Source organism: Homo sapiens, chromosome 10 (genome assembly GCF_000001405.40).
Source record: "Homo sapiens chromosome 10, GRCh38.p14 Primary Assembly".
NCBI classification, from domain to species: domain Eukaryota; kingdom Metazoa; phylum Chordata; class Mammalia; order Primates; family Hominidae; genus Homo; species Homo sapiens.
The window spans coordinates 70,428,990-70,454,488 of record NC_000010.11 but is presented as its reverse complement, the minus strand read 5'-3'; the positions used below and the strand labels follow the sequence as shown (position 1 = coordinate 70,454,488).

Sequence of the window (25,499 nt, the reverse complement as noted above, 5' to 3'; positions counted from 1 at the left end):
TGAGGCAGGGTCTCACTCTGTCACCCAGGCTGGAATGCAGTGACATGATCTCAGCTCACTGCAACCTCTACCTCCTAGGCTCAAGCTATCCTCCTGCCTCAGCCCCTGGAGTTGCTGGGACTACAGGCACGCACCACCACGCCAGACTAATTTTTATATTTTTTGCAGAGACGGGGTTTCACCATGTTGACTAGGCTACAATTGCAAATATTTAAAGTGTGCATTTTGATAAGCTTTGAGATATATATAACCATCACCACAATTAAGAAAATGAATAGGCCAGGCACAGTGGCTCATGCCTGTAATCCCAGCACTTTGGGAGGCCAAGGCGGGCAGATCACCTGAGGTCAGGAGTTTGAGACCAGCCTGCCCAACATGGGAAACGCCGTCTCTACTAAAAACACAAAAATTACCGAGTCACAGTGGCGCACGCCTGTGACCTCAGCTACTCCAGAGGCTAAAGCATAAGAATCGCTTGAACCCCAGAGGTGGAGGTTTCAGTGAGCAGAGATTGCACCACTGCACTCCAGCCTGGGTGACAGAGTGAGACTCTGTCTCAAAAAAAAAAAAAAAAAAAGAAACGAAAATGAACATATTTATCACTCCCAAAACTTTCCTTCTGCCCTTTGTTATCCCTCCCTCTCCCCCATCCCTAGGCAACCCATTGGTCTGCTTTCTGCCACTATACATTAGTCTGCATTTTCTAGAATTTTATAGAAATGGAATTATCCATAACATACTACTTTTTGTTGGGATTCTTTCACTCAACATCATTGTTGTATCATTGTTTTGAGATTCATCCCCTTCATGTGTATCAATAGCTCATTCGTTTTTATTGTCAGATAGTATTTCAATATATGGATATACCACAATTTGTTTACTCATTCACTTTTTTTTTTTTTTTTAAGAGACAGGATCTCACTCTGTCACCCAGGCTGGAGTGCAGTGGCGTGATCATATTTCACTGCAGTCTTGAACTCTTGGGCTCAAGTGATCCTCCTGCCTTGGCCTCCCAAAGTACTGAGATCACAGCCACCATGCCTGGTCGTTATCTATTCAGCTTTGAACTTGAATTATCCATGGTCTTTTGGATGGTTTTGAATTTTGAATAATATGTTTTTAACATAAATGCTTTTTGAAGATAGCAACTGTTGACGGAAACAAAACAATAAAATTTAAAATATATTACTCAAAGATCACAAAACCAAACAAGTATAAAAGAAATTTCAATAAATTATCAGAAGCTGGTTTTGTAAGTTTCTATCACTTATAATTTTGAAGTTATTAAAGATTAAATATGACTAAAATAGTGCACTAGGACTTTTAGAGCTCTCTTTATGACTAATAATTGCTCCCAGTGATTACTGTCTTCAAGCAATTTTGGAAGACACTGAGCTAACTGCACATATAAATCTCTTTGGTACAGTCAGTGCCTGGCACACAGTAAGCACTCCCTAAGTGCTGAGTTTTATTCTTAGTTTGTTTAGTGTTTATTCTTCGTTCTGATTCTTTTTTTTTTTTTTTTTTGAGACAGAGTCTTGCTCTGTCTCCCAGGCTGGAGTGCAGTGGCGGGATCTTGGCTCACTGCAAGCTCTGCCTCCTGGGTTCACGCCATTCTCCTGCCTCAGCCTCCCGAGTAGCTGGGAGTACAGGCGCCCGCCATCACGCCCGGCTAATTTTTTTGTATTTTTAATGGAGATGGGGTTTCACCATGTTAGCCAGGATGGTCTCAATCTCCTGACCTCGTGATCCGCCCGCTCCAGCCTCCCAAAGTGCTGGGATTACAGGCGTGAGCCACCGCGCCCGGCCTTTTTTTTTTCTGAGACAGAATCTCTCTCTATCGCCTGGGCTGGAGTGCAGTGGCACTACCTCGGCTCACTGCAACCACTGCCTCCCAGGTTCAAGAGATTCTCCTGACTCAGCCTTCTGAGTAGCTGGGATTACAGGTGCCCACCATCACGCCCAGCTAATTTTTGTATTTTTAGCATAGACAAGGTTTCACCATGTTGGCGAGGTTGGTCTCAAACTCCTCTCCTCAGGTGACCCACTCGCCTCAGCCTCCCAAAGTGCTGGGATTAGAGGCGTGAGCCACCGCACCCAGCCTCGTTTCTTCTTGAGACATAGTCTCACTATGTTGCCCAGGCTGGAGTGCAATGGCACAATCTTGGCTTACTGCAACCTCTGCCTCCTGGGTTCAAGCAATTCTTCTGCCTCAGCCTTCTGAGTAGCTGGAATTACAGGCACCCATCATCATGCCTGGCTAATTTTTGTATTTTTTGTACAGACGGGGTTTCACCACCTTGGCCAGGCTGGTCTTGAACTCCTGATCTCAGGTGATCTGCCTGCCTCAGCCTCCTAGAGTGCTGGGATTACAGGCGTGAGCCACCGTGCCCGGCCCTTAGTTCTGACTTTTTTTTTTTTTTGAGACGGAGACTCGCTCTGTCGCCCAGGCTGGCGTGCAGTGGCTCGATCTCAGCTCACTGCAAGCTCCGCCTTCTGGGTTCAGGCAATTCTCCTGCCTCAGCCTCCTGAGTAGCTGGGACTACAGGCACCCGCCACCATGCCCGGCTAATTTTTTGTATGTTTAGTAGAGACGGGGTTTCACCGTGTTAGCCAGGATGGTCTCGATCTCCTGACCTCGTGATCCACTTGCCTCAGCCTCCCAAAGTGCTGGGATTACAGGCGTGAGCCACCGCGCCCAGCTTATTTTTATTTTTATATTATTATTATTATTATTTTTATTTTTATTTTTATTATTATTGAGAGGAGTTTCGCTCTTGTTGCCCAGGCTGGAGTGCAGTGGCACAATCTCAGCTCACTGCAACCTCCACCTCCCAGGTTCAAGCGATTCTCCTGCCTCAGCCTCCCTAGCAGCTGGGATTACAAGCGTGTGCCACTAGGCCCGGCTAATTTTTGCATTGTTAGTAAAGGAGGGGTTTCACCATGTTAGTCGGGCTGGTCTTGAACTCCTGATTTCAGGTGATCCGCCTGTCTTGGCCTCCCAAAGTGCTGGGATTACAGGCATGAGCCACCACACCCGGCCAGTTCTGATTCTTATTCATGGCTTTCTTTCTTTCTTTCTCTCTCTCTCTCTCTCTCTCTCTCTCTCTCTCTCTCTCTCTCTCTCTCAGAGCCTTTCTCCCACCCCCAGGCTCAGAGTTAGGTCATCTCCAACTCAACTTCAGCACCAGTGACTCCCCGTGGAGGGGAAGTGGGAAGGTGGGAGGCAGAGGCAGCTGGCTGGGCTGTGGGAATCTCTGAGAAGCTTCCGGGGTGGGAGGGGAGGGCACCCTCCTGGTGGTCTCTCTGTTTGTTTCACAAAACCTTCCCATTCCGCGGGGTTCCAAGGCCAGGCTGTGCCTTCACCTCCTGACCCTGTGGGAAGCGCAAGCCTCGACTTGGCTCCACCCCAAGAGGCTGGGGGGCCATGGGAGCAGGAGGAGCTTGAGCTTCAGAGTCAGACAGACCAGGCCCTGCCAGCTGGATGATGTGGGGCCAGTCACCCTGTCTGAGGGTGGTACCAGCCCTGCTCAGGTCACATAGCTCCTGCAAGGACCACGGGAGAGACTGGAGGCATGAGCGATGCACACAGAAGGTGCAGTAACATGAATCATGTCCATAAGGAGATGGGGACACAGAAGACATTGTCTTGCTGATGTCCAGACGTCAGCATGCCAAGACAGTGCACCCAGTATTTGAGACCCACTGTGTATCCAACCGTGTGCTCAGGAGAGTGAGGTGGAAGAACTTGAAAGCAGTGGAAGCTGCTGACCTGAGGGACTTATGTCCTTTTAGTGGCCACTGGACCAAGAAGCACCTTCCCTGTCTTTGCCTTTTTACCTCTGTGTCCTGCAATGCAGACACCAGGTTAAATGCATTCATTCAACAAAGGTGTACTATGAACACTTGCATGTGTCAAGAACTGTGCTAACGACTGGGGGTCCAGCAATGAACTAAACAGAGAAGCTGCTTATAGCCAGCCTAGTGCTGGGGAGGGGAAAGGATAAAAAAGAAACTTACAGTACAAAACAAAATAAGGTAATTTCTTTTTTTCTTTTTCTTTTTCTTTTTTTTTGAGGCAGAGTCTTGTTCTTGTTGCCCAGGCTGTAGTGCAATGGCGCGACCTCGGCTCACTGCAACCTCCGCCTCCCAGGTTCAAGCGATTCTCCTGCCTCAGCCTCCCCAGTAGCTGGACTTACAGGCATGCGCCACCATGCCTGGCTAATTTTTGTATTTTTAGTAGAGACAGGGTTTCGCCATGTTGGCCAGGCTGGTCTCGAACTCCTGACCTCATGTGATCTGCCTGCCTCAGCCTCCCAAAGTGCTGGGATTGCAGGCGTGAGCCACTGCGCCCAACCACAAGGTAATTTCTGACCATGGAAGAGCTGTGGAGAAAATCAACAGAGTGATATAACAGAGTGCAGGATGTCAATTTAGATGGGGGAAGCTGGGAAAGACCTCTCTGTGCAAGGAAAGTAATAATAAGTGACTCTGCTGGGACAAGGGAGCATCCAGTGTGGCTTCTCAAGTCACAACGACTTAGGGCCCCTCACATTACCACCTGCTAGATGCTCCACCTGGGTAAGCTGCTTAACCTCTCTGAGCCTCAGTTTCCTCACCTGTAAAATGGGAGTAACCATCCAATCCACTTCATAGGATTGATAGGAGAGTGCAAACACATTATAGTAAGCCTTTATAGAATAATAGATTATGTCTATCTCATCCAGCCTGGGCCAGCTACCCACAATGCATGAATTAGTCCCTTTGAAGAAGGACAATGAGATGGGCCCAACCCAAACACTCCTAACTGACTCCAGAGTGACTTTCTCTCATCTAAAATATAACAAGTGGGGCTGGGAGCAGTGGCTCACACCTGTAATCCCACTGCTTTGGTAGGCTGAGAGGGACGGATCACCTGAGATCAGGAGTTCAAGACCAGCCCGGCAACATAGTGAAACCTCGTCTCTACTAAAAATACAAAAATTAGCCGGGCATACTGGTGCATGCCTGTAATCCCAGCTACTCGGGAGGCTGAGGCATGAGAATCACTTGAACTGGGAGGCAGAGGTTGCAGTGAGACGAGATCAGTCCACTGCACTCCAGCCTGGGTGACAGAGTGAGACTCCATCTCAAAAAACTAATAATAATTTTAAAATAAAATAAAATATAACAAGGTTCTCCAGGGCCAGGCAAATTGGGTGTAATAAGTTAAGGATTGACTCTAGCACTTAAGAGAATAGACCCTGCCTAAAGGAAATAGTGACAATTTGGCTTTAGGGAAACTTTTCCATGTTGAAATGAGGGTCCAGGCCTTTCTTTCCATTTCTCAAATGAAGAAAAAAAAACAAAAACGTATTTTATGAACAATCTCAAAAATGTACACTGTTGGCATCTTAAAAACTTTTCTTTCTTTTTGTTTTTTGTTTTGTTGTGTTTGAGACAGGGTCTCAGTCTGTGGCCCAGGCTGGAGTACAGTAGCACAGTCATGGCTCACTGCAGCCTCAACCTCCTGTACCCAAGCCATCTTCCCTCCTTTAGCCTCCTGCATAGCTGAAACTACAGGTGTAGGCCACAATGCCCAGATACCTTTTTCTTTCTTTTTTATTTTATTTTATTTTTTGAGGTGGAGTCTCACTCTGTCGCCCAGGCTGGAGTGCAGAGGCACATCTCAGCTCACTGCAACCTCCGACTCCGTGGTTCAAGCGATTCTCCCGTCTCAGCCTCCCGAATAGCTAGGATTACATGCATGCACCACCACACCTGGCTAATTTTTGTATTTTTAGTAGAGACGGAGTTTCACCATGTAGGCCGGGATGTACTTTTCTGTTGTTTTAGAGATGAAGTCATGCTATGTTGCCCAGGCTGGTCTTAAACTCCTGGGCTCAAGTGATCCTCCTGTCTCAGCCTCTGAAAGTGCTGGGATTACAGGTGCAAGCCATGGCAGTCAGCCCAAAACTTTTAAAAACATAGTTGGCGGGCAGACAAAACACTGCATCAGCCAGGGCCAGCTGCAGGCATGGTTTGCAACCTCCACTTACTGCATACCAGGCCCTTTGCCCAGCGCTTTGAAGAATACAGTGCAAACCAGCACCAGGCTTGCTGGTGGGAAACTCCCAGGGGCTCAAAGATCATGTCCCATAAACAAAGAATGGCTGGGATCAGAGCCTGGATAAGGAAGGGGTCTCAGGGGAGAGTGCCTGAGGGGAGGGAGGTCATACAAGGAAAGCTTCATGGAAGAAAAGACTCTTGGGCTGGATTCTGTGGGAGAAATAGGAATGTTTTGTTGAATGAAGAGGAGGCAAAATCATTTTGGGCAGAGAAAGAACAGCTCTGAACTTTGGGGAAGGGCAGGTGTTTGCATGTGGCTGGAGTGCTTTTGGGCTCGAAGGGGTTTGCAGGGGAGGGCTCTGGACAACAGGGCTGGAGATGGAGGCTCATTTCTAGCTTGAGATCACAGAGAGCCACGAGATCACAGAGAGCCACATATGCCAGCAGAGTCACTGGATGGCACCTCTCAGCCTGGGCATCAGCCTCCAAGACCAACAGTTGGGGATACAGACTAAAGGTAGAAGCGAGAGACTTGTCTTAGACCTGCCTTTATGAGATTGAATTCATTCACGTAGGTTGCAGATTCCAGCAAACAGTGGGCAGTTATAAACCAGGGGCTGGGGCCTCAGAGAGAAAGGAGTCAGGGGTCACCCCTGCTCCTAGGCAGCTCACAATCTGGTAGGCTGGTGGCCTTCACTGAAGAGAGTTTAGACAACTGCTCTACGATGCTTTATTTTGCTTGTTGATTTTCTTCTTCTTCTTCTTCTTTTTTTTTTTCCTGAGACAGGGTCTCACTCTGTCACCCAGGCTGGAGTGGAGTGGTGTGATCATGGCTCACTGCAGCCTTGACCTCCTGCCATCTCAGCCTCCCAAGTAGCTGGGACTACAGGCACAAGCTGGCTAATTTTTAAATTTTTTGTAGAGACAGGGTCTCACCATGTTGCCTAGGCTGGTCTCAAACTCCTGGTCTCAATCGATCCTTCCATCTTGGCCTCCCAAAGCACTGGGATTGCAGGCACGAGCCACCACACCCCGCCCTGATGCTTTACTTAGAAGAGGGCTCTGCTGGCCAGGTGCGGTAGCTCATGCCTGTAATCCCAGCACTCTGGGAGGCCGAGGTGGATGGATCATCTGAGGTTGGGAGTTTGAGACCAGCCTGGCCAACATGCTGAAACCCCATCTCTACTAAAAATACAAAAATTAGCCAGGCCTGGTGGCACTCACCTGTAATATCAGCTACTCAGGAGGCTGAGGCAGGAGAATCACTTGAACCTGGGAGGCAGAGGTTGCAGTGAGCCAAGATCATGCCACTGCACCCCAGCCTGGAGACAAAGTGAGATTCCATCTCAAAAAAAAAAAAAAAAAGAAGAAGAAGAGGGCTCTGCTAAATTGCTGTGGGGGCACTTACAGGTTTGTGGAAGAGGAGACTTTTAAACTGTGTCTTGATAGATGAGTAGGAGTTTAGGAGTTTACCGGGGGAGATAAAGTAGAAACAGCAGGAGGAAAGAATATGTGAAAGGCAAGGGTGTTTGGGGGCCCTGCTTTGGGAATATGGGGTTCAATCACTTAGCAAATACTTACTGGTACCTGTGTGCCAGGAGCTATGCTAGGCACAGAGGGATATGATGAAGCAGGTGCTCTCCACCCTCACAAAGCTTATGCTTTAATTCCTGTGTACCTCAGTTTCTCCATCCCTGAAAGGCTTTCCGCACAGAACATCAGTGAGGGGTGAACAGGATTGCTTATATAGGCAATATACAGGCAAAGGCAGCCAGTGTCACCCCTGGCATACAGGAAATGCTCACTAAACACATGTCCTTGATTCCCTGAGAATCTAGCTCTAAGTCAGCCTGCCAGAGACTCACTAGACAAGCAGGTTTGTTCGATGAATGAATGAATGAATGAATGACTAAATGCTACGTGCACTATACACTTTACACACATTTACTATTTATAGCATTCCTGTCAGTAGATATGATTTGTCTCCATTTTACAGCTGAGCAAGCAGAAGCTTCAGGATGCTAAGTGCCTGGTCTAATATCCCTAGGCAGGAAGTGACAGAGAAGTATCCAGATTCTGCCTCCTGGAGGCTCAACTTCAGGATCCAAGCACTTAACCATGTCACACATTGCTGCTCACATCAAGGGAGGGTCCAAAATGTCTCTATGGAAAGCATCTGAGAACCTCAAGGGACTTTGCCCCCACCCTCTTGCCAGCTGGGATGGCCTCAAAGGTTATCTCCCAGGTCAGGGAATCTGACGGTCAGTCTGTCTGGGCAGAGGAAACGAGAAGGTGTCATTCCTCACCTGGAAAAAGGGCACTTCTGGTCTTTCTTATATGAAAGAGATCCTGGACTAACTAATGTCTTTAAAAAGTGAGGGTGACTGTTAGCCTCGGTCCTAAAAAAGCAACAGAGATTCAGGTTCTTCCAGGGATAGTGCCAGAGCCCAAGAAAGTTCAGAGATGGATGAGCTTTGTCAGACAGTTGCTCTTGCGGGTCAGAGAGAAATTCCAGGCCTCCACAGGGCTCTAAGCCAATACACATCAGAAATGAGCTGTCTGCAGCTGTTGGACCCTGGGAAAGGCAAGACGTTATTTGAGAGTTTTTTTAAAAGTCTTAGTACAAGGCACATTTTCACTCCTCTTCTATGGGGAAGCAACGGGTTTGGGTGACAAGCAGACTGACCCTTCACATACTGGCTGTTTCCACTTGTAAATTTGTGGCTTTGGGCAAATTATCTGAGCTTCTGTTTTCTCATCGTCTCTGAAGTGGGGATGAGGATAAAATCAATGCAATTATTAGCAGAATGTCTGGTGCATTAGGTGCTCAATAAATGTTAGCTATGGTTATTATTATTCATTTTACCTTAAACAGTGAGCGCCGGCCAGGCGCGGTGGCTCATGCCTGTAATCCCAGCACTTTGGGAGGCCAAGGCGGGTGGATCACAAGATCAGGAGATCGAGACCATCCTGGCTAACACGGTGAAACCCCATCTCTACTGAAAAATACAAAAAATTAGCCGGGCGTGGTGGGGGGCGCCTGTAGTCCCAGCTATTCAGGATACTGAGGCAGGAGAATGGCGTGAACCCAGGAGGCGGAGTTTGCAGTGAGCCGAGATGGCACCACTGCACTCTAGTCTGGGCGACAGAGCGAGACTCCGTCTCAAAAAATTAATTAATTAATTAATTAAAAATTAAAAAAAAGAAGCTTCTGGTCCAGCATGGAAAGCATGCCATCTTTTTTGTTCCTTCCCAGTCTCAGTGGATGAGGGTGCTCTGAGCTGAGCTGAGCATGTTTAAACAGGGACCACCTACACACTAGGCCACATGGTGATTTGGTAGACCTGGGTTCTGGAATTGGCTTCACTGCGTCTGACTCCTGCACCTCCATCTAGTTGTCTGTGCCTTCCCTGTGCTGCCATCCTTGGAACCTGAGTCCTGGTCAGAGGCTCCCACAGCACAAACCACAACCTGTCATTGTTGTATTTATATGTGCATGACCTGGATGAGGGTGCCTTCTGCCTCTGGGGAGGGGTCTGACACAGAGGGCTGAGGCTGAGTCTCTAGGCTGGGGAAGTCAGATGACAACCATGGACCACCCACAATAATACCCGCATGCATCATCCTCTACGGTGACATCAGGTTTTAGAGCTTGTAAAGCATTTTTACATTCATTTCGTTTAGTCTACATGGGAGGAGTAATCTCTAGACAAGTTTTGCAGATGAGGAAACAATGTAGAGAGGTGGGTTACAAACTGCAACAAGAACCCTAGCCCATGTGGGTCCCAAAGTTGGCTGATCAGAATCACTGGAGGGCCAGGCTCATGCCTGTAATCCCAGCACTTATGGAGGCCAAGGCGGGCAGATCACTCGAGGTCAGGAGTTCGAGACCAAGATGGTGAAACTCCTGTCTCTACTAACAGTACAAAAATTTAGCCAGGCGTGGTGGCATGTGCCTGTAATTCCAGCTACTGAGGCAGAAATTACAGCTACTGAGGCAGGAGAATCACTTGAACCCAGGAGGTAGAGGCTGCAATGAACCGAGATTGTGTAACTGCACTCTAGCCTGGGTGACAAAGTGAAACCCTGTCTCAAAAAAAAAAAAAAAAAAGTATCACTGGAGTGCTTGTGAAATATGTAGATGACCATGCCCTCTCACCAAATTCTAAATCTGAAGGTCTGGGTCTGGACTTGAGAATCAATAGTTTGGCCGGGCGCAGTGGTTCACGCCTGTAATCCCAGCACTTTGGGAGGCTGAGGCGGGTGGATCGCCTGAGGTCAGGTGTTTAAGACCAGCCTGGGCAGCATAGCAAAACCCCATCTCTAATAAAAATACAAATTTTAGCCGGGCATGGTGGTGGGGACCTGTAATCCCACCTACTCGGGAGGCTGAAGCAGAAGAATTGCTTGAACCGGGGAGGCAGAGGTTGCAGTGAGCCAAGGTCGTGCCATTGCACTCTAGCCTGGGCGACAAGAGCAAAACTACATCTCAAAAAAAAAAAAAAAAGGGGAGTCAACAGTTTAACAAACACCAAGGTGATGCGTATCTTCAGGCAAGTTCAGACATAGTGCCATTCACTGAATTTTTTTTTTATTTTTTTGAGACGGAGTTTCACTCTTGTTGCCCAGGCTGGAGTGCAATGGCGCAATCTTGACCCACTGCAACCTCCGCCTCCTGGGTTCAAGCGATGCTCCTGCCTCAGCCTCCCGAGTAGCTGGGATTACAGGCATGTGCCACCACGCCCAGCTAATTTTGTATTTTTGGTAGAGACAGGGTTTCTCCATGTTGGTCAAGCTGGTCTCAAACCCCCGACCTCAGGTGATCTTCCCACCTCAGCCTCCCAAAGTGCTAGGATTACAGGCGTGAGCCACTGCGTCTGGCCTCACTGAATTATTTACTTGTTTTTATTTTTTTTTTTTAAAGAGGGTCTTGCTATGTTGACCAGACTGGTCTCAAACTCCTGGCCTCAAGCTATCCTCCAGCCTTGGCCTCCCATGTGTTGGGATTACAGGCATGAACCACCACACCTGGCCTGAATTATTTACTTAACACAGATTTTTTGGGTTCCAACGATGATGATGGTATATACTGTGTGACAGCAGGATGAACAAGACATTTCCAGCTTTAGGAAACTAACAGACTGTCCAGGGCTCATGTGGTGGACAGCCCAGGTCTCCTGAATCTTAGATGAGGCCTCCAGCTATGTGGGACAGCCTCCTCCCCTAAGACAGAGGACAAAGGCTTGGAGCTCCTAGTTGAGCCTGCTGGGCCTTTCTCCATTTTCTAACAACCTGCTCAGGTCGCAGCCTATGGTTCTTTTGTTGTTGTTGTTGTTGTTGTTGTTTTGTTTTTTGAGACAGGGACTCACTCGGTTGCCCAGACTGGAGTGCAGTGGCCCGATCTTGGCTTATTGCAACCTTTGCCTCCCAGGCTCAAGCAATCCTCCCACTTCAGCCTCCAGAGGAGCTGGGACTACAGGCGCACACCACAAAAATGCCTGGCTCATTTTTGTATTTTTGGGTAGAGACAGGGTTTCACCATGTTGACCAGGCTGGTCTTGAACTCCTGAGCTCAGGTATCTGCCAGCCTCATCCTCCCTAAGTGCTGAAATTACAGGTGTGAGCCACCGTGCCTGGCCAGCAGCCTATGGTTCTTTTGAGCTAGAGGCATCCTGTGAAAGAAGTCAGGTGTATAGAGCACTTAGCACTATGCCTGGCGCTTAGTAAGTGTTCAGTAAGTGTTGGCCAGCAGCTAAGTGCTTGTCAAGGCTAGGTAGGTGGGGGGAGCTAAGAAGAGAAAGAGCCCTCAGGTGTAAAGGAAAACGGATGGGGCCAGACACTGGGGCAGGGATTTACATTTCTTTAAAAGTCATTCCAGCCCTGATTTGACTTTGCACCTGGAAGGGAGGAGGCCAGACAAGATCACTCTTGTGCAAATAAGGAAAGCTGAGCCCAGAGATCAAAGTGAGTGGCCCTGAGCCGACACCCAGGTCTTCTGTGGCCCTGCCACACCAGGCAGGGATTGGGGGATGTGGGCAACAAGGGTAACACCTTTCCTCCTGAAATCACTGGGGTGATGTCTGCCTGTCGGGGAAGAGCCTGATGAACCAGGATCACCCCGTTGGCTCCATCTGGCTCCAGCTTCTGCTGAACACTCCCTTTTCAGGTGGAGAAGTCATCGTCCTGGTCCCTCCTGCCTTCTGTCTTCCCCAGGAAAGCACTTCAGTATTTGGTAGGGCCAGGGGTGCTCCCCGAGGCCATCTAGACAGTGGCCAGGGAGGCTGCGCCGGCCAGATTGTGTCAAAGTCTGCCTGAGAGCCACGAGGATCCCTCGGCATTCTCTTCCTGCTTCTTGAGGAGCCTGCGGTCCATTTGCAGCCTGAGTGGAGAGGATGGGGCAGGGATCCCAGGTGAGGTCGAGTAAGGAAGTCGCAGTTCTGACCTGGGAATCTGCCGGGACAAGCCTGCTCTGTCTCAGCATCAAGGCGTTTGGTACCTAGAGGAGCAGGGTGCCAGGGTGTCCAGACCGGGCAAACCAGGAGCCCTAGATCCCGTCCCTGGAACTAGGTCCTCCGCCAGCTTTGCGGGCCTCCTCCGCACCAGGCTCAGGTCTCGCCCATCCCCAGCAGGAGGTCTCTCTGCCCCCCACCCTCCGGAGGGGGGTTATATGATCTTAAAGCTTCCCCAGAGGGAGGAAAGGTGGGGGCGGGGCGGCTGCTGAGGCCCAGGATATAAGGGCTGGAGGTGCTGCTTTCAGGCCTGGCCAGCCCACCATGCACGCCCACTGCCTGCCCTTCCTTCTGCACGCCTGGTGGGCCCTACTCCAGGCGGGTGCTGCGACGGTGGCCACTGCGCTCCTGCGTACGCGGGGGCAGCCCTCGTCGCCATCCCCTCTGGCGTACATGCTGAGCCTCTACCGCGACCCGCTGCCGAGGGCAGACATCATCCGCAGCCTACAGGCAGAAGGTAGGCAGTGCCGCGTGCCGCGCCCTGCTGGGCACCCCCGGGGCGCCTCCGCCGCGTCCAGCCAGCGGACTCGGGAAGTGCTGTGGGTTGGGGGCTGCGGCTCCGAGCCGGGTTTGCAGCCGCCCGGGCGTCCCGAGCCCAGGGCCTAGCTCTGCGGGTGTCTCCGCGTCAGCAGGCTCGGGGTGCAGCGTTGGTGGCTGGGGGCGTATCCACGGCCGAGTCGGGAAGGGATTCTAGCGTTCAGGGTGTGTCCTCGACGGGGACCATTGTCTCTGGGTTTTGGTTTGGGATTGCGCGGAGCGCAGCGCGGAAGGGTGGGAGCTTCTAATCTCCAGTCTTGTGAAGTTGCTTATCCCGGAGCCTGGGTCTGCGCATCTGTAGGATAGGTGTAATAAATAACACCTCGCCTATCAGACTGTGGAAAGCGCGAGATGACAATGCGCGCGAAACGCTCAGCGCAGTACCCGGCACAGCCACAGTCAACGGTCGTTGGTATTACTGTAATGGTTTGGTCTTGGCGATTTTTTTTTCTTTCTGCGAGTGAGGGTGAATGGGTCCCGGGGTGTGACGTCGGGAGTATCGGCAGCTGAGCTGGTAACATCGGGGATTCGGGCTCACGGCCCGGAGATCAGGGATGGGCTGTCCCGAAGTCGCGAACTGTGGCAGCCTTGGGTCCTCCAGCCGCGCCGGGGAAGTGTCAAGTGTCTCGCTTAACCCCGGGTTCGGGGCCATGATTTGCAGGGGAGTGGGTGTCAAGGACGGCAGGGATCTGAGGGTATCGCCCTCGAGGACCTGGCAGCGCGTTCTGGGCACCCAGCGCGGCGAGCAGGTGGGTGCTGCGGAGAGGGAGCCCCTTCCGCGCCTCAATCCACATTCTGCCGCCTGGGCAGCCGCGGCCGCCCACGCCTCCCTCCGCCTGCGGGGGCCAGACGGCCCTCCCTGGGGCCGGGGCGCAATCCACAAACGCTAATCTGATCCGACCTGCCGCCTGCCCGCCCCTTGTGACCTGGTGCCGGGGGCCCTTCGCTCCCGCGCCTGGGGTCAGACAGCCGGTGACCCTCTCCGGAAGGGTCATCTGGGGACCAGCCAGACCAGGGGACACCCTCGGGGGCGGGGCAATGAGAAATTTGCTGGAGTGCTCGGCCCCTCAACCGAAAAGCGGCCGGGGATGGGAGGGGGCAAAGAAGGGAGGGAGCGCTTTTCCAGTTCACTCCCTTCTGGAAAGTTCGAGATGTGTGCGGTGATGGACAGGCATCTGGAAACTGGGTTCTAGGCCTCAAATCCTGCTTCCTGATTCCCTGTTGTCCCTGGCGCGTCTTGGTTTATCTGCCTTCCCTTCTGTAAATTAGGAGACTGCTCTCTTTCAGCTAAACACTGTTTTTTTGTTTGTTTGTTTTTTCTTTGAAACAGAGTCTCCCTCTGTTGCCCAGGCTGGAGTGCAGTGACACGATTTCGGCTCACTGCAACCTCCGCCTCCCAGGTTCAAGGAATTCTCCTGCCTCAGCCTCCCGAGTAACTGAGACTACAGGCGCGCGCCACTGCGCCCAGCTATTTTTTAATATTTTTAGTAGACACAGAGTTTCACCATATTGGCCAGGCTGGTCTCGCCTGGTCTCGTGGTCCGCCTGCCTCGGCCTCCCAAGGTGTTGGGATTACAGGCGTGAGCCACTGTGACCGGCCTAAACACTGTTTTTTAGTGTACAGCGGCATGTGGCACAGTTACGTTGTGAATTGGCCTCATTTTCTAAGAGCAGTGGGAAGAGCCCGCCTGGAGGGAGACTGGAGGAGAAGGGATGTCCTGGCCCCACTCCTTCCATCTTGGGTTTATTTAGAATAAGCTGCACCGCAGTTGCATGAAAGGGATGTTGGAGTCCAATTGGGTTTACATCTGTATCTGTTGCCGTTTAACCTTCACCTTGGACCTTCAGTTTTCTCATCTGCAAATGGTGAGATGAGAGGAACAGTGAGGAGATTTAGAGAATGCCTGTGAAACACTTGGCACACGGGAAGCCACTGATGGTAACGACCCTTATAATTTATGAAAATGTAGAGTGGGTGCTCAGTGTCAGGTCCTTACAGCCCTGCCTCACAGCCCTGTCTGGGGACGGCGGTGTCGGTGACTGGAAGGGAACCCAAGGGTGTGAGCCACTTTCTTCTTCAGAACTGGAGGTGGGGCCGGGCACAGTGGCTTACGCCTGTAACCCAGCACTTCGGGAGGCCGAGGTGGTCGGATCATGAGGTCAAGAGATCAAGACCGTCCTGCCCAACATGATGAAACCCTGTCTCTACTAAAAATACAAAAATTAGCTGGGCATGGTGGCGCGCACCTGTAGTCCCAGCTACTCGGGAGGGTGAGGCAGGAGAATCACTTGAACCCAGGAGGTGGAGGCTGCAGTGAGCTGAGATCGCACCACTGCACTCGAGCCTGGCCACAGAGCGAGACTCCATCTCAAAAAAAAGAACTGGAGGTGGGCCAGGAGGACATCAGGGGCATCTGTGTGGCTAAGTCTGCATTCAGCATATGAATGGGTTTTTGGGTGTCCATGAACCCCTTCCTCATACCCACCTTAAAATCACATTTGTTGTATTTGGATGTGTGTTTCTTTCTGATAACATTCCTACCTTGCATCAGGCACCAGTGACACCCACAATATTAGAACCCTTATTCTAAGATGAACCAGAGAACCTATCAGCCCTGTTCCAGGGCACCCTGGCAGCAGTGGGAGAAGGTAGGAAGGGTCACAGACTTCTTTCAGCAGGAAGGAGCAGCCTCTTCCCTACCCAGCCTTTCCCACTGCCCATCCTGTTCATAGGAAACTTTGCACCCCTGTCCAGGTCCTTGTGGCCTGTCCGGACACCTTCATTTCTAACTCTCGGACCTGGGCAATAATGAGGCAGCTGATGATGGCCAATGTTTATTGAACTTTGGTTGTGCTGGGCATGGCACATTACATGAATTATCTCAGTTAATCCTAACACCCCTGTGAGGTGGCTACTTTTACCATCTCCCTTTTACAGAGAGGGAAACTGAGGCTCAGAGAAGGAAAGTAGCCTGACCAAAGTCAAACAGCAAGTGACAGAATTTGAGCCATCATGGGGAGACTTGGGGGCCCCTGCTCTTAACCATTAAGCAGGAGTGCCTTCTTCTAAAAGAGTTGAGATAAAGTTTTTCTTTTTTCGAGACAGAGTTTTGCTTTTCGTCACCCAGGCTGGAGTGCAATGGCGCAATCTCAGCTCACTGCAACCTCCACCTCCTGGGTTCAAGCGATTCTCCTGCCTCTGCCTCTCAAGTAGCTGGGATTACAGGTGTGCACCACCATGCCTGGCTAATTTTGTATTTTTTTTTTAGTAGAGACAGGGTTTCACCATGTTGATCAGGCTGGTCTCGAACTTCTGACCTCAAGTGATCCACCCACCTCAGCCTCCCAAAGTGCTGGGATTATAGGAGTGACCCACCGCACCTGGCCAAGATAAAGTGTTTTTAAACTCACCGCCCGAATCCTCCAGGTACAGGTGGCAGCAGTGAGTGCTGAGTAATGTTAGCCTCCTCCCCACACTTCTGGGGAAAGCTGCTAGTCAGGGGCCGGTTATTGCCTCCTGTAGGTGCTAATGAGGAGGGAAGTGGAAATTAAGTGAAAAAGAGCTGCTGGAGATAGGCTGGGAGAAGCTGCCATGAGGCTGAGATTGGGAGTGACCCCTTTACAATACAAGCTGGATTTCCCAGAGAAATTCACTTCCTCTCTGACCAAAGATGCTCAACGAGACAGTCAATGAATAAACTGTTATGCAGCCAGCCTGGACCTACATCAGAGATCATCACTACCTCCAGAGTCTATTCACAAAGAATTATAAATGCCCTGTCTTATTTCTAATGAATAACCCCAACTTTTATTTAGCAATAAACCTTCAAACCTCTTTATTTCTCTGGGTCCTTGTGATAATCAGAGAGGGTGGTACAGCATTATTCCCATCGCAAAGAAGAGGAAACTGAGCTTGAAGAAAGTTCATTACTATGTTTGTTGTTGTTTTTGTTGAGACAGAGTTTCGCTCTTGTTGCCCAGGCTAGAGTTCAGTGGCGCGATCCCGGCTCACCACAACCTCCACCTCCTGGGTTCAAGCAATTCTCCTGCCTCAGCCTTCCTGAGTAGCTGGGATTAGGCGTGAGCCACCACACCCGGCTAATTTTGTATTTTTAGTAGAGACGGGGTTTCTCCATGTTGGTCAGGCTGGTTTCGAACTCCTGACCTCAGGTGATCCACCCGCCTTGGCCTCCCAAAGTGCTGGGATTACAGGCGTGAGCCACCGCGCCCGGCATCACTATTAAGTCACCTGAAAATCCACAAATCTGTGCTATTCCCAGACATCAGGGAAAATCAATCCAGGACCAGAATAAATGGAGTGTGCTCCCCTACTCCTTGTCATCCAGCTTGGGTTTGGTTGTCTTGGGTGTGTGGAACAGGGCTGGGTGTGTGTGTCTTCTGGGTGATGATCTCTGATGTAGGTCCAGTCTGGGCATCTAACAGTTTATTCATCTGTTGTCTCATAGAGCATCTTTGATCAGAGAGAAAGTGAATTTCTTTGGGAAATAATCCACCTTGTATTGTAAAGGGGCAACTCCCACTTTCAGCCTTCTGGAAGCTTCTGGGTGCATGTGATTGCTGTGTGCCCCAGGTGTGTGAATGACCTGGGACAGGAATGGGCGAGCATCCTGTAGGTGGGTAGACATGCCTAGAAAGCCTTTAGAAACCTATTTGTAAGGTTGCCAAAAACTCTTAGGAACTGGGGGGTGGGTAGAGGGTGACCAGTCTTTGGCTTCTATTGCCTGTGGCTCCCTGAGAGCTCTGAGCTTTTCCATGATATTCACATCTAGCTCAATGTGTCTGTAAAACAAGTCACTCTTTTTTTTTTTTTTTTTTGAGACAGAGTTTCACTCTTGTTGTGCAGGCTGGAGTGCAATGGCACTGTCTTGGCTCACTGCAACCTCTGCCTCCCGGGTTCAAATGATTCTCGAGTGGCTGGGATTACAGGCGCAAACCACCACGCCCAGCTAATTTTGTATTTTTAGTAGAGACAGGGTTTCTCCATGTTGGTCAGACTTCATGTATGGGAGGAGACAGGGGAGGGGGAGATGCAACTCATCACATTTTTACTGACTGTCCTCTGGCTGTGCAAGTTATCTTGGAAGGGGGACTGGAAGAACAGTAATTCGGAGTCTGGGCTTGGCAGTTGGGCAAATCCAGGTTTACTCTTGGCTCTGCCACCTTCCAAGAATGACACCTTGGTCAGATCTTTTAACCACACTGAGCCTCAGTTTTCCTCATCTCTAAAAGGGACTCGAAAATCTTACCAACTCATAGAGTTGGGGTGAGAATTCGAAGGTAATTCTATATAAGGTAAGGCCTCCAGCAAGAGCTATGGTGGTTGTGACACTGACTGAGGCTGGGGGAGGCCCTCACTCACCCTCCTTCCTTCTTGGTTTTCTCCTACCCAGATGTGGCAGTGGATGGGCAGAACTGGACGTTTGCTTTTGACTTCTCCTTCCTGAGCCAACAAGAGGATCTGGCATGGGCTGAGCTCCGGCTGCAGCTGTCCAGCCCTGTGGACCTCCCCACTGAGGGCTCACTTGCCATTGAGATTTTCCACCAGCCAAAGCCCGACACAGAGCAGGCTTCAGACAGCTGCTTAGAGCGGTTTCAGATGGACCTATTCACTGTCACTTTGTCCCAGGTCACCTTTTCCTTGGGCAGCATGGTTTTGGAGGTGACCAGGCCTCTCTCCAAGTGGCTGAAGCACCCTGGGGCCCTGGAGAAGCAGATGTCCAGGGTAGCTGGAGAGTGCTGGCCGCGGCCCCCCACACCGCCTGCCACCAATGTGCTCCTTATGCTCTACTCCAACCTCTCGCAGGAGCAGAGGCAGCTGGGTGGGTCCACCTTGCTGTGGGAAGCCGAGAGCTCCTGGCGGGCCCAGGAGGGACAGCTGTCCTGGGAGTGGGGCAAGAGGCACCGTCGACATCACTTGCCAGACAGAAGTCAACTGTGTCGGAAGGTCAAGTTCCAGGTGGACTTCAACCTGATCGGATGGGGCTCCTGGATCATCTACCCCAAGCAGTACAACGCCTATCGCTGTGAGGGCGAGTGTCCTAATCCTGTTGGGGAGGAGTTTCATCCGACCAACCATGCATACATCCAGGTGGGATGCCAGGCGTGAGGGGGAGGGGAGGCAGTAAGCTGGCCTTGGGGGACAGGGCTCTAGCTTTGCTATTAAATGACTATGTTCCTGTATTCACAGTTACTCAAGCACCTCCAATGTACCAGGATCCTGTGCTAGGTACCAGGCATGTAGAGATGACCGAGTGTAACATCCTTATAGAGCCTGTATGGGGTCATGCGTCACTGGGTAGCCTTGAACACATTGTTTCCCTGGGACTTTATCCTTGTCTTTCATAAAATTAGGGGGTGGGGGTAGACCAGAGGGTCTCAGCACTTCCCTAGCCCTGACATTCTAGGAAAGGAAGAATCTGGACTTTGGGGACAGGCAGGCCTGCATTTGACTCCTCATTAGCTGTGTGATACTGTTTAGGTTGCTTATTCTCTCAAGCTTCAGTTTTTCCACCTGTAAGATGAGGAGGGCAATGCCATATTTCAGAGGGATGCTGTAGGGTTAATGAGATGACATGCACATGGCATGTAAAGCAGTTGGTAGGTAACAGGCATGTTTGGCTGCATTATGGGGCCACGGTTGGAATCACACTGTTCCAGCCACAGTATTTTGGTTGAGAATTGACTACCCATTCTACAGAAGTAGACAAGGCCAGCCAGGTGCGGTGGCACATGCCTGAAATCCCAACACTTTGGGAGGCTGAGGTGGGCGGATCACCTGAGGTCAGGAGTTTGAGACCAGCCTGACCAACATGGTGACACCCCGTCTCTACTAAAAATACAAAAATCAGCCGGGTGTTGTGGCACATGCCTGTAATCCCAGCTACTCGGGAGGCTGAGGCAGGAGAATCACTTGAACCCGGGAGGCAGAGATTGCAGTGAGCCGAGATCATGCCATTGCACTCCAGCCTGGGCAACAGGAGCGAAACTCCATCTCAAAAACAAGAAAAAGTAGACAAAGCCAGAGGCTGCCACTTGGTGCCACTAGTCAGCCTAAGGTCTAGGAGGTGGTGGAGGAAGAACAGAGCTGGTGAGTTAGGAAAGAGAAGAAGATGGAGAGAACAGAAAATATAACCTAATATGGTGGATCTGATGTTATAGGTGGCCCTGCCCTGCTGTCCAAGGTCATATGGGACCAAAATGTTTTCATTTTACTCCATGAAGTCTGGAATGAGAATTTCTTGGACTTGCAATATATCCTCCATGCCAAGCCTCAGGCGGGATTCAGGGTCTCTGGGGAGCATGAGCACATGGGCTGAGGTCATGCAAGGGAGTCCCTGGGGGTACTAGAGCTTCCGAGGATCTGTCCTGAGCCTCACCCAGGCCTGCTGATTTTCATCGCCCACCTGGAGCACCACAAAGACCCAGACAGTCCCAACTGCCAACTCTGACACTCTGATCTAAAAAGACGTTACTAGACCACAGGGACAGGCCCTGGTTCCAAAACGCCAAGGGATTGTTCCTTTCCTCCTATTGACTCTCTCTGTCCTTCTCTGGCTGACAGCAAATCCCATAAGAATTTCCACATGACTAACTATTCTGCTTCATATTTCTAGAACTAAACCAGGAATTTCTTGGAATATTTTAAAAATTGGTATTCACAGCCGGGCACGGTGGCTCACTCATGTAATTCCAGCATTTTGGGAGGCTGAGGTGGGTGGATCGCTTGAGCCCAGGAGGTCAAGACCAGCCTGGGCAACATGCCGAAACCCTATTTCTACAAAAAATACAAAAATTAGCCAGGCATGGTGGCATGTACCTGTAGTCCCAGCTACTCAGGAGGCTGAGGTGGGAGGATCACCTGAGCCCAGGAGGTTGAGGATGCAGTGAGCTGTGATCACACCACTGCACTCCAGCCTGGGCAACAGAGCAAGACCATCTCAAAAAAGAAAAAAAAAATGGTATTCCCTTTAGACTAGAATAATAGGAGAACATAAAAATTAGCTACCACTTAAAAAAAAAAATAGCTACTACTCTACCCAGATACATGTAATTTTTTGAATCTGTTTAAAGGCTGTTTTCACAAAACAAGCACAGAGCTAAAGGTAGTTTAGACATTAGAGTTCATGATATATTGGCAAGCTAATTCCTTTATGAAAATAATTTTCTGCTATTTTTGCACTCAGGAACTGACTTTAACTCCGTAACTTTTTTACTCTTTACCCAGAAATACTATTCTGACCTGCCCATCAGGATGTGAATTGACACACCCTTCCTTTCCTTTACAGAGTCTGCTGAAACGTTACCAGCCCCACCGAGTCCCTTCCACTTGTTGTGCCCCAGTGAAGACCAAGCCGCTGAGCATGCTGTATGTGGATAATGGCAGAGTGCTCCTAGATCACCATAAAGACATGATCGTGGAAGAATGTGGGTGCCTCTGATGACATCCTGGAGGGAGACTGGATTTGCCTGCACTCTGGAAGGCTGGGAAACTCCTGGAAGACATGATAACCATCTAATCCAGTAAGGAGAAACAGAGAGGGGCAAAGTTGCTCTGCCCACCAGAACTGAAGAGGAGGGGCTGCCCACTCTGTAAATGAAGGGCTCAGTGGAGTCTGGCCAAGCACAGAGGCTGCTGTCAGGAAGAGGGAGGAAGAAGCCTGTGCAGGGGGCTGGCTGGATGTTCTCTTTACTGAAAAGACAGTGGCAAGGAAAAGCACAAGTGCATGAGTTCTTTACTGGATTTTTTAAAAACCTGTGAACCCCCCGAAACTGTATGTGAAAGTTGAGACATATGTGCATGTATTTTGGAGGTGGGATGAAGTCACCTATAGCTTTCATGTATTCTCCAAAGTAGTCTGTGTGTGACCTGTCCCCCTCCCCAAAGATTAAGGATCACTGTATAGATTAAAAAGAGTCCGTCAATCTCATTGCCTCAGGCTGGGTTGGGGGAGCCCCACAGCTTTCTGGCTGGCCAGTGGCAATCTACTGGCCTTGTCCAGAGGCTCACTGGAGTGGTTCTCTGCTAATGAGCTGTACAACAATAAAGCCATTGTCTAGTTCTCCTGGGCCAGCTGGTGCCTGTGAAGGCAGAGGCAGGAACTCATCCAAGAGGACCGGCCATGTTGGGTTACAGAAGACATCCCTGCGTCAGTCTGCTTCGGCAGACACAGCCTGAGTTTGTTAAAGTTGGTGACAATCCACCTCAGTCTCTCAATGTGTGCTATTAATGAGGCCTCTGAGCTTCCTATCCAGCAGTGGTGAAGGCCTTGCCCTGGGTGGCAAGATACTTGCTCTATGGTCACAGCTCAGCCACTGGAAGCTGTGCGACCTCAGGTGAGCAATTCACTGTCCAGTCTCCACTTGTAAAAGGAACGCTGGTGAATCCTAATGCATTCATATTAAATGTCTGTTGTCAGGCTCAGAAGAGCCATGAGCTTTAAGCTGTAGACTGAATAGGAAGAGCTACCTTATCCCTACCTCCCTCTAAAGCTTATAAAGCTTGCTAAACCCAGTCCCTGCCACATGCCCTTAATCTAACCTTTATCGGCTCTTTTGTTACTCAGGGTTCTAAGACAGACTTAATTTCAGGTTCCACATGGGAAGCACAGCAAAAGGAGCCTGAGTGAGGCAGCTCTATCCCCAAAAACCCCTGACCACAGTTATCTTCCAGGTAAAAAGACCTCAAAGGCAGCAATTCTGGCTGGGTGCAGTGGCTCATGCCTGTAATCCCAGCACTTTGGGAGGCTGAGATGGGAAGATCACTTGAGTCCAGTAGTTCAAGACCAGCCTGGGCAACATAGTGAGAACCTGTCTCTGTTTAAATAAAACAAACAAAAGAAGCAATTCTGCTCTTAACAGCTTGATCTCATTGAGCATTGCCAAAGCAGGGGCACTTTTTTTGTAGTTTCATGGAGCAAAGGGGCCACTTTATTGGGAATGTGAGCCCACAGTATATCTACCCCATTCTGCTTTCCCAAGAAGCCTACCCACTTATGCTAAAGAAAATGATTCCAATCATTTGTGAACCCTGTTGAGCTCAGACGAACTCAACTGAGGCTTTGGTTGAGTCAACACCATAGTCATGGCCCAGAAAGGGGCTGGATTTGCTGGAGCCAGGCCTGGGCTTGAGAAACCTCAGTGCCTTGATTCCACAACAAAGCTGATCCAGCTGTTCACTGCCTGGACTAGAAATAGACTGCCCAGATCCAACAATTCAGAATCAACAGGATTCTGCATCTGCCCATATACAGAACAGCAGAGCAGGGACAACCTTGTGAGGTCAGCTTGTCTGATCCCCATTCCTAAGTGAGACCCCAGGGAGGCCTCAGGGCCTGACCACACAGCTAGGAGTGGCAGGGCCAAGAGCTGAGCTCTGGTCTCTTGAGCCCTACGGGCACTTACTGCTTAACAGCAACTAGAGGTTTGTGCTCACCTATCTTGGGATCCAAGCCTTAGCCTTTAGAACCAAACATTTGAACCCAATTACACTACTGAACTAGTTCTTAGAAGTGAACATCCCACCCCAGGACTTTCTTACATGGCTGGTGCCAGAGAGCGAAAGGTCAAGCTATTTGTAGCTACAGCTTGTGGGAGTGTTTACAGTCAGCTGTATTGACTCCAAGAACAAACCCTTGACGACAGGGCATTGCCTCATGTCAAATAAAAGTAGTGCACAAAGTAGTGAAACTCTGTGTTTTGCTGACCCCTGCTGAAAGCTCAGTGTTTGCTACGTCAGCAGCAGAGTCATTCTGTTGCCTGGACAGAGTCACTGGGGCAAAGCCTACCTACCCGAGCCTAGGGAATAGCTCCATGCTCTAGGCCATGTGCTTGCTGAAGGCTCTATAAGTCACTTTAAATACTACCTTGGAGAATTGTGTCCTGTCTGAACCTGGGATGTTTTCTGTTGTTTTGATACAGGATCTTGCTGTCAACCAGACTGGAGTGCAGTGGCACAATCATGGCTCACTGCAGTCTTGCCATCCTGGACTCAAGCAATCCTCCTACTTCAGCCTCCCAAGTAGCTGGGACTGCAAGCATGCACCATCATACCCAACTAATTTTTTAGATTGTTTTTTGTCAAGACAGGGTCTCGCCATGTTGCCAAGGCTGGTCTCCAACTTCTCGGCTCAAGCTCTTGTCCTGTGTTGGCCTCACAATGTGTTGAGATTACAGCTGTGAGCCACTGCACCTGGCCTGAACCTAGGGTTTTAAGAGCACTCAAGAGTTATTTTAACTTGCTCTCAAGAAGTGCCAAGTCAGTTGTGAGTGGTAAAAATTGGACACATTACACTCCTTGGCTGAGGAAGTGGGTGGGCCTGGCAGTAGGTAAGCCTGGAGAAATTAGAAACATTGTAAGAAACAGAAACACGGGATCCATAGAGATGTGGGGAGTGGCTGTGACCCTGGGATAGCACCCCTAACCTGGGGTTTATCTCCGTCTTTAAGTCTTCCTTTTCGGTCCGGCGCGGTGGCTCATGCCTGTAATCCCAGCACTTTGGGAGGCTGAGGCGGGCGGATCACGAGGTGTGGAGTTTGAGACCAGCCTGACCAACGTGGTGAAACCCCGTCTCTACTAAAAATATAAAAATTAGCCAGGCATGGTAGCACGTGCCTGTAATCCCAGCTACTCAGGAGGCTGAGGCAGGAGAATCACTTGAACCCAGGAAGCGGGGGTTACAGTGAGCCGAGGTCGCACCACTGCACTCCAGCCTGGGCAACAGAGCAAGATTCAGTCTCAAAAAAAAAAAAGTCTTCATTAGCAGTAAGATCCTTACCTATCCTAATTGCCTTTAGGGCAGAGTAAAGGATGTAGGAAAGCGCTTTTAAGGTTTTGGTCCCATCTTCCCTTAAAGAGATCCTTTAGTCCTTCTATAGGTTCCATGAGTAGGTGGTAGCTGCAGTGCTCAAACCTGTTCCATTCCTAAACTTACACACTTGGAGGGAAGAGGAGAGGGGGCTGAATAATCTCTGGGTGTCCATGTCAACCGGGCTGTGCTTGAGTCCCTTAAATACTGTTTCCTGAGCTGAGTATACTAGGCACTGGGCTCTTTATGACATCAACTGGGCCTGACAACCACCTAGAAAAGTTGTTTCTTAACCTTATTTTAGAGAAAACTGAGGCTTGTAGAATAAGAATTCTGCTGGGTAATTTGGCTACTAAGCAGCACAGCTGGAACTGAAGCTGCCTGACTCCAAAGCCTGTGCCCTAAACCCCTAGACAGTTCCGATGGGAAAGCTTCCTCCAGTCCAGTTTTATTCTGTGGACCTCTGTGCACGTGAAAGAATTCTCATTCTCAGGACTAATACATGAAACCCGCTGGATTAGTTAACAGCAGGGAATCTGACGCTCATGCAGCACAGCTTGGTTTGAGGTAACAGGCATGA

The 25,499-nt window shown here is 50.0% G+C and overlaps 1 protein-coding gene across 3 annotated transcripts, besides 9 other annotated features; it reads left to right on the top strand.

Moving 5' to 3' along the window:
- Positions 3,261-3,929: an enhancer, noted in NCBI's record as "H3K4me1 hESC enhancer chr10:72210316-72210984 (GRCh37/hg19 assembly coordinates)". NCBI's record gives its function as "activates a minimal SCP1, AML or CMV promoter by ChIP-STARR-seq in primed H9 embryonic stem cells {active_cell/tissue: H9 hESC(primed)}" and the evidence as "EXISTENCE:reporter gene assay evidence [ECO:0000049][PMID:30033119]".
- Positions 6,538-22,553, top strand: NODAL (nodal growth differentiation factor). 3 transcript variants are annotated; one of them, NM_001329906.2, is made up of 3 exons: positions 6,538-6,565; positions 18,506-19,203; positions 21,401-22,553. In NM_001329906.2, the coding sequence occupies exons 2-3, from the start codon at positions 18,712-18,714 to the stop codon at positions 21,551-21,553; spliced, it is 645 nt and encodes a 214-aa protein (NP_001316835.1). In that variant the 5' UTR covers positions 6,538-6,565; positions 18,506-18,711; the 3' UTR covers positions 21,554-22,553. The 3 variants fall into 3 exon arrangements, with proteins under 3 accessions (NP_001316835.1, XP_024303796.1, NP_060525.3); XM_024448028.2 differs by lacking the exon at positions 6,538-6,565 and adding an exon at positions 12,326-12,458; NM_018055.5 differs by lacking the exon at positions 6,538-6,565 and adding an exon at positions 12,808-13,014.
- Positions 8,102-8,396: an enhancer, noted in NCBI's record as "tiled region #10829; HepG2 Activating DNase matched - State 8:EnhW". NCBI's record gives its function as "activates a minimal TATA promoter and a strong SV40 promoter by Sharpr-MPRA in HepG2 cells {active_cell/tissue: HepG2}" and the evidence as "EXISTENCE:reporter gene assay evidence [ECO:0000049][PMID:27701403]".
- Positions 11,515-12,124: an enhancer, noted in NCBI's record as "OCT4-NANOG-H3K27ac-H3K4me1 hESC enhancer chr10:72202121-72202730 (GRCh37/hg19 assembly coordinates)". NCBI's record gives its function as "activates a minimal SCP1, AML or CMV promoter by ChIP-STARR-seq in naive and primed H9 embryonic stem cells {active_cell/tissue: H9 hESC(naive and primed)}" and the evidence as "EXISTENCE:reporter gene assay evidence [ECO:0000049][PMID:30033119]".
- Positions 11,822-12,116: an enhancer, noted in NCBI's record as "tiled region #10859; HepG2 Activating DNase matched - State 8:EnhW". NCBI's record gives its function as "activates a minimal TATA promoter and a strong SV40 promoter by Sharpr-MPRA in HepG2 cells {active_cell/tissue: HepG2}" and the evidence as "EXISTENCE:reporter gene assay evidence [ECO:0000049][PMID:27701403]".
- Positions 12,735-13,344: an enhancer, noted in NCBI's record as "H3K27ac-H3K4me1 hESC enhancer chr10:72200901-72201510 (GRCh37/hg19 assembly coordinates)". NCBI's record gives its function as "activates a minimal SCP1, AML or CMV promoter by ChIP-STARR-seq in naive and primed H9 embryonic stem cells {active_cell/tissue: H9 hESC(naive and primed)}" and the evidence as "EXISTENCE:reporter gene assay evidence [ECO:0000049][PMID:30033119]".
- Positions 13,345-13,952: an enhancer, noted in NCBI's record as "H3K27ac-H3K4me1 hESC enhancer chr10:72200293-72200900 (GRCh37/hg19 assembly coordinates)". NCBI's record gives its function as "activates a minimal SCP1, AML or CMV promoter by ChIP-STARR-seq in primed H9 embryonic stem cells {active_cell/tissue: H9 hESC(primed)}" and the evidence as "EXISTENCE:reporter gene assay evidence [ECO:0000049][PMID:30033119]".
- Positions 13,953-14,562: an enhancer, noted in NCBI's record as "H3K27ac-H3K4me1 hESC enhancer chr10:72199683-72200292 (GRCh37/hg19 assembly coordinates)". NCBI's record gives its function as "activates a minimal SCP1, AML or CMV promoter by ChIP-STARR-seq in naive H9 embryonic stem cells {active_cell/tissue: H9 hESC(naive)}" and the evidence as "EXISTENCE:reporter gene assay evidence [ECO:0000049][PMID:30033119]".
- Positions 16,963-17,143: a silencer, noted in NCBI's record as "fragment chr10:72197102-72197282 (GRCh37/hg19 assembly coordinates)". NCBI's record gives its function as "represses an EF-1alpha promoter that drives an FKBP-Casp9 reporter gene in an ReSE screen in K562 erythroleukemia cells {active_cell/tissue: K562}" and the evidence as "EXISTENCE:reporter gene assay evidence [ECO:0000049][PMID:32094911]".
- Positions 18,845-19,346: an enhancer, noted in NCBI's record as "H3K4me1 hESC enhancer chr10:72194899-72195400 (GRCh37/hg19 assembly coordinates)". NCBI's record gives its function as "activates a minimal SCP1, AML or CMV promoter by ChIP-STARR-seq in naive H9 embryonic stem cells {active_cell/tissue: H9 hESC(naive)}" and the evidence as "EXISTENCE:reporter gene assay evidence [ECO:0000049][PMID:30033119]".

What these genes read in the sequence shown, in the direction of transcription:
- NODAL (NM_018055.5), top strand. Translation starts at nt 12,822, where the DNA reads ATGCACGCCCACTGCCTGCCCTTCCTTCTGCACGCCTGGTGGGCCCTA. An exon ending in CCGCAGCCTACAGGCAGAAG is followed by an intron (nt 13,015 to 18,505) that starts GTAGGCAGTGCC and finishes TCTCCTACCCAG; the next exon opens with ATGTGGCAGTGGATGGGCAG. An exon ending in CCAACCATGCATACATCCAG is followed by an intron (nt 19,204 to 21,400) that starts GTGGGATGCCAG and finishes TTTCCTTTACAG; the next exon opens with AGTCTGCTGAAACGTTACCA.